Source organism: Homo sapiens, chromosome 17 (assembly GCF_000001405.40).
Source record: "Homo sapiens chromosome 17, GRCh38.p14 Primary Assembly".
Lineage (NCBI taxonomy): Eukaryota > Metazoa > Chordata > Mammalia > Primates > Hominidae > Homo > Homo sapiens.
In genome coordinates, this window is record NC_000017.11 from 74595547 (window position 1) to 74599839 (window position 4293).

Sequence of the window (4293 nt, forward strand, 5' to 3'; positions counted from 1 at the left end):
CTCAGCCGAGTAGCTGACACTACAGTTGTGCAACATTGCACTGGCTAATTTTTTAAAACACTTTTCGGTAAAGAAAGGATCTTGCTCTGTTGCCTAGGCTAGCCTCAATCTCCTGGGCTCAAGTGATCCTCCTGCCTCAGCCTTGCAAAGTGCTGGGATTACAGGTGTGAGCCACCATGCCCAGGCTCTTGGTTTAGTTTTCCCTAGCCCATTGACCTTGGTAAATTAAAGGCAGATCTAGTGGGACCATGCCTTGTTTTCTTTGTCTTGGGGGGTGGCACTGATCTCTGTGTTCCTGGCAGAATGTGATATTGTTTGGGATTTACTATCTTGGCCACAGCAGAGGGACAGCCTCAGCGGCTTCCCCTTGGCCTTCCCCAGTCTGATCACTTTTACCACACAGACCAGAGAGTCAGTATTCATATGCACTGGTTGCTAAGTGTATCCACTTCTATCATTTCTAAAAATCAGGGCAAGAACCACTGGGATGCCTCTCTCATCTCTAGGATCTTGATTTTGCCTCTGGTTCTACTCAGGACTCGCTGCCTGGTCCAAGTGCTCAGCTTGTCTCAGACTGCCCAGTGACTCCACCTGCCCTCTTCCCTTCTGGAATTCTCTCAGCCCCATTGCTCCTATGGAGCTCAGTTATGTAATGGCATCTCCTCCCGTGAGCCTGGCCTACAGAGACAGCCACTGCTGAGCTTCTCCATAATGCTAATGCCCCATCACCAACATAGTTCTTATTTCCCTGGTATTGGAGTATCCTCCAGGGCATCCCAAGGATAACACTCATTAAATACTAATTTAGTGAAACTAGCATATTTTACCTAAAAACACAATCAAATAATTTCATGTGAGTCTTTTTAAAAACAACCTTGTTTTTTTATAGCAGTTTTAGGCTCACAGCAAAATTGAGCAGGAAGTACAGAGATTTCCCATGTACCTCCTACCCTCACACAGGCACAGCCTCCCCCATTATCAACATCCCCCACCAGAGTGGGACATCTGTTACAATTGGGGAATCTATATTGACACACCATGACCATTTGAAGTCCATGTTTGCATTAGGGTTCAATCTTAGTGTTGCATATTCTATGGGTTTGGACAAATGGATGATGAGAGCATCCTATAGAGTAGGTTCACTGCCTTGAAGATGCTCTGTGTTTCCTTGAGCCTTTTGATCCCTTCTTCCACCCTTCCATGACATCTTTACATCATTGAATGTGGGGTTTTGTTGCTTCTAAGCTTCTCAGGGCCATCCCAGCAGTGTACTAGGACCAGTCTCCCAGCTTTGCAAGTGGTGAGTCCTCCTACATTGCATGGATGAGTACCTCTATGTTGAAAAACCCTTCCTGGCTCAGCACTATAGTCCACTGCCCTGGGATCCACTCTCACACACACTCTTCTAACTGGTTCATGCCAGCGTATATTAGTTCTCCTTTTCCCTTAGCAGCCCAGCGTGTCCCTAGGTGGGCCAGGCTGACACTCAACGTTGGTTATCGGTCAGGAAGAGAAATGAGGGCAGATTCCTCAAGTAGATCCTTAGGGGGCAGCAATGTCTGGTGAGGCATCTGCTTCATTGGAGACCTCAGCATCAACTTCAACAGGGGAGCTGTTACCTTCTAACAAGCATCAGGCCGCTCTGCAGTGGGAGGCTCGAGGGCTCAAATGAATTGTCAAATGTCCCATCTTCAGGTTCCTACTTTTCCCTACAGGAGCCTGACTTGTTGAGGCTAAGGATTGAGTTTTCACTGAAATTTCACTTCTCTTAAACTTAGGTCTTGGCCTGTGTATTAGTCCGTTCTTATGTTGCCAAAAGAGACATACCCGAGGCTGGGTAATTTATAAATGAAAGAGGTTTAATGGACTCACAGTTCCACATGGCTGGAGAGGCCTCACAATCATGGCAGAAGGCAAATGAGGAGCAAAGTCACGTCTTAAATGGCAGCAGGCAAGAGAGCTTGTGCAGGGGAACTCCCCTTTATAAAACCATCAGAACTCATGAGGCTTATTCACTATTGCAAGAACAGTATGGAAAACCCCGCACCCATTATTCAATTACCTCCCACTGGGTCCCTCCTGGTGGGGATTATGGGAGCTACAATTCAAATGAGATTTGGGTGGGGACACAGCCAAACCATATCAGCCTGATCTACGGCACAATTTTTTCTCCAGATAGAGGGAATGGGGATCCCTTCAAAAGCTGCTAAGGAGGGTACCAGAAGCCCGCCAAAGGCATGGTCTAAAATGTTCACAGCACACTATGCATCATGGCCCTGAACTTGAAACTAGCTGAATGCCCATAAATAATACATTTGAAAAAATCATAAAAACAACAAGAAAAGTGTTTCAAATTGTGCACTTTAAATATGTGCAGTTTATTTTATCCCAATTATACCTTAATAAAACTGGGAAGGAAGGAAGGAAGGAAGGAAGGAAGGAAGGAAGGAAGGAAGGAAGGAAGGAAAGAAGGAAGAAAGAAAGTCTGTCTATGGTCCCTGAAGTCCTGCCCCCTCCCATGCGTTCTTGGCTCTAGGCAGCAGCACCAGGGCTCACCAAGACACTCCAAAATCCCAAGAGAAGGTGCAGCTTCAAACATAAACAGAAGGCCCGGATCACACCTGTAATCCCAGCACTTTGGGAGGCCAAGGCAGGCAGATCACTTGAGTCCAGGAGTTCAAGACCAGCCTGGCCAACATGGCAAAACCCCGTCTCTACTAAACATACAAAAATTAGTCTGGTGTGGTGGCACATGCCTGTAGTCCCAGCTACTCGGGAGGCTGAGGCAGGAGAATTGCTTGAACCCAGGAGGCGGAAGTTACAGTGAGCCAAGATCACACCACTGCACTCCAGCCTGGGTGATAGAGCAAGACTCTGTCTCAAAAATAAATAAATAAACAAACATAAACAGATATTGCTCAGGGGCCTCCTCCACTTCCTCCCCAAGAACTGACCCACCACGCCCTCCTCTGCTCCCACTGGCAAAGCTTTCTGCTGCTCTGCCTCTAATCCCCCACCCCTGCAAAGCCCTTTGCAGGTGAAGATATGATGGGCTTTGTCTTAGGAAGGCTAAACTGACAGGGGGTTAAGGAGGGAACACAGCAGGGAGTCGGGAAGCCCCAGGGCCATGGACCAGGCACAGTAATAGACCAATCTTAGAGTGAAGAGGACACGGAATTTAATTTTGAGCACATCTGAGCTGTTAACAAAGTGGGTATCTCTATGAAACAACCAATAGGCACTGGAAATGACAGCCAAGCACTGAGGCAGGAAATCAGGTGACAAACTGCTTTTGACAGTCTTGTGCATAGAGGTGACTTTAGAGTGCAGGTGAGGACACTCCCTGGAGAGAAGGGCTCCAGAGGAGAGCATCAGGACAGGCTCCTGCAGATGCAGGGTGGTGGGGGCAGGAATGGATTAGGCAGTGAGAGCAAGGAGGGGCTTCAGCAAAGAAGGAGGAGAGGAAGAGGGAGCAGGTGACAGAGGAGGGAGGGGACCATCTAAAGGAAGAGGGGGGAGTCTGGGAAAGTCACTTTGGGGATCAACAGAGCAAGCAGTTTCGGTGCAGTGAGATTGGCCAAAAGCCAACTGCAGGGAAAATGTGCAGAGATGGGGAGGAAGGAACCAGGGCAAAGTGGGGCTAGAGAAAAAAGGCAACTTCCCCTTCCCCAACTACCTACCACAAGCCTCCAGTTTGGAGTGACTCAGGACCCCAGAGGAAGCTTTCCTAGAGAGGAGCACTGAGTCAGGCTCCAGAAGAGATAACAGCCCAGGGCTGGAAGGGTGGTTTGAGATGCCCTGCCGTGGGGCTGCCTGGAAAGAGCCTGGGGCACAGGCTGTTTCTCCAGCGAGGCTGGATGGGAGCACTGTGCTGTGTTCTTCCCAAAGTGCAAAGCCAGCGCGCCTCGATCAATCCCTTCCCTCCACGCTCTGAGACAAAGCCAGGGCGCCTCCATCAATCCCTTCCCTCTACGCTCTGAGGCAAAGCCAGCGTGCCTCCATCAATCCCTTCCGTCCACGCTCTGAGCCTTACTGTACTCCCTGCCCTGTGTTGTTGGCAGATGCTCCTAAATCACAGACAGCTGCAGATGGAGCCCAGGCCAGGCCTGGACCATTTACTTCCCCAGTTCATTGAAGACGTATCATCACACCACACACACTCCAAAAAGACAGCACCACGTTTCTCTTAATTCATGAATTTAGGAAGTAACTAAAGAAAAAAAAAGGAAGCAGTTGAGAAAACAAACAAAAAAAATGATTTAGACAAGTAGGAAGCAGTTTGCCTCTGGGTTC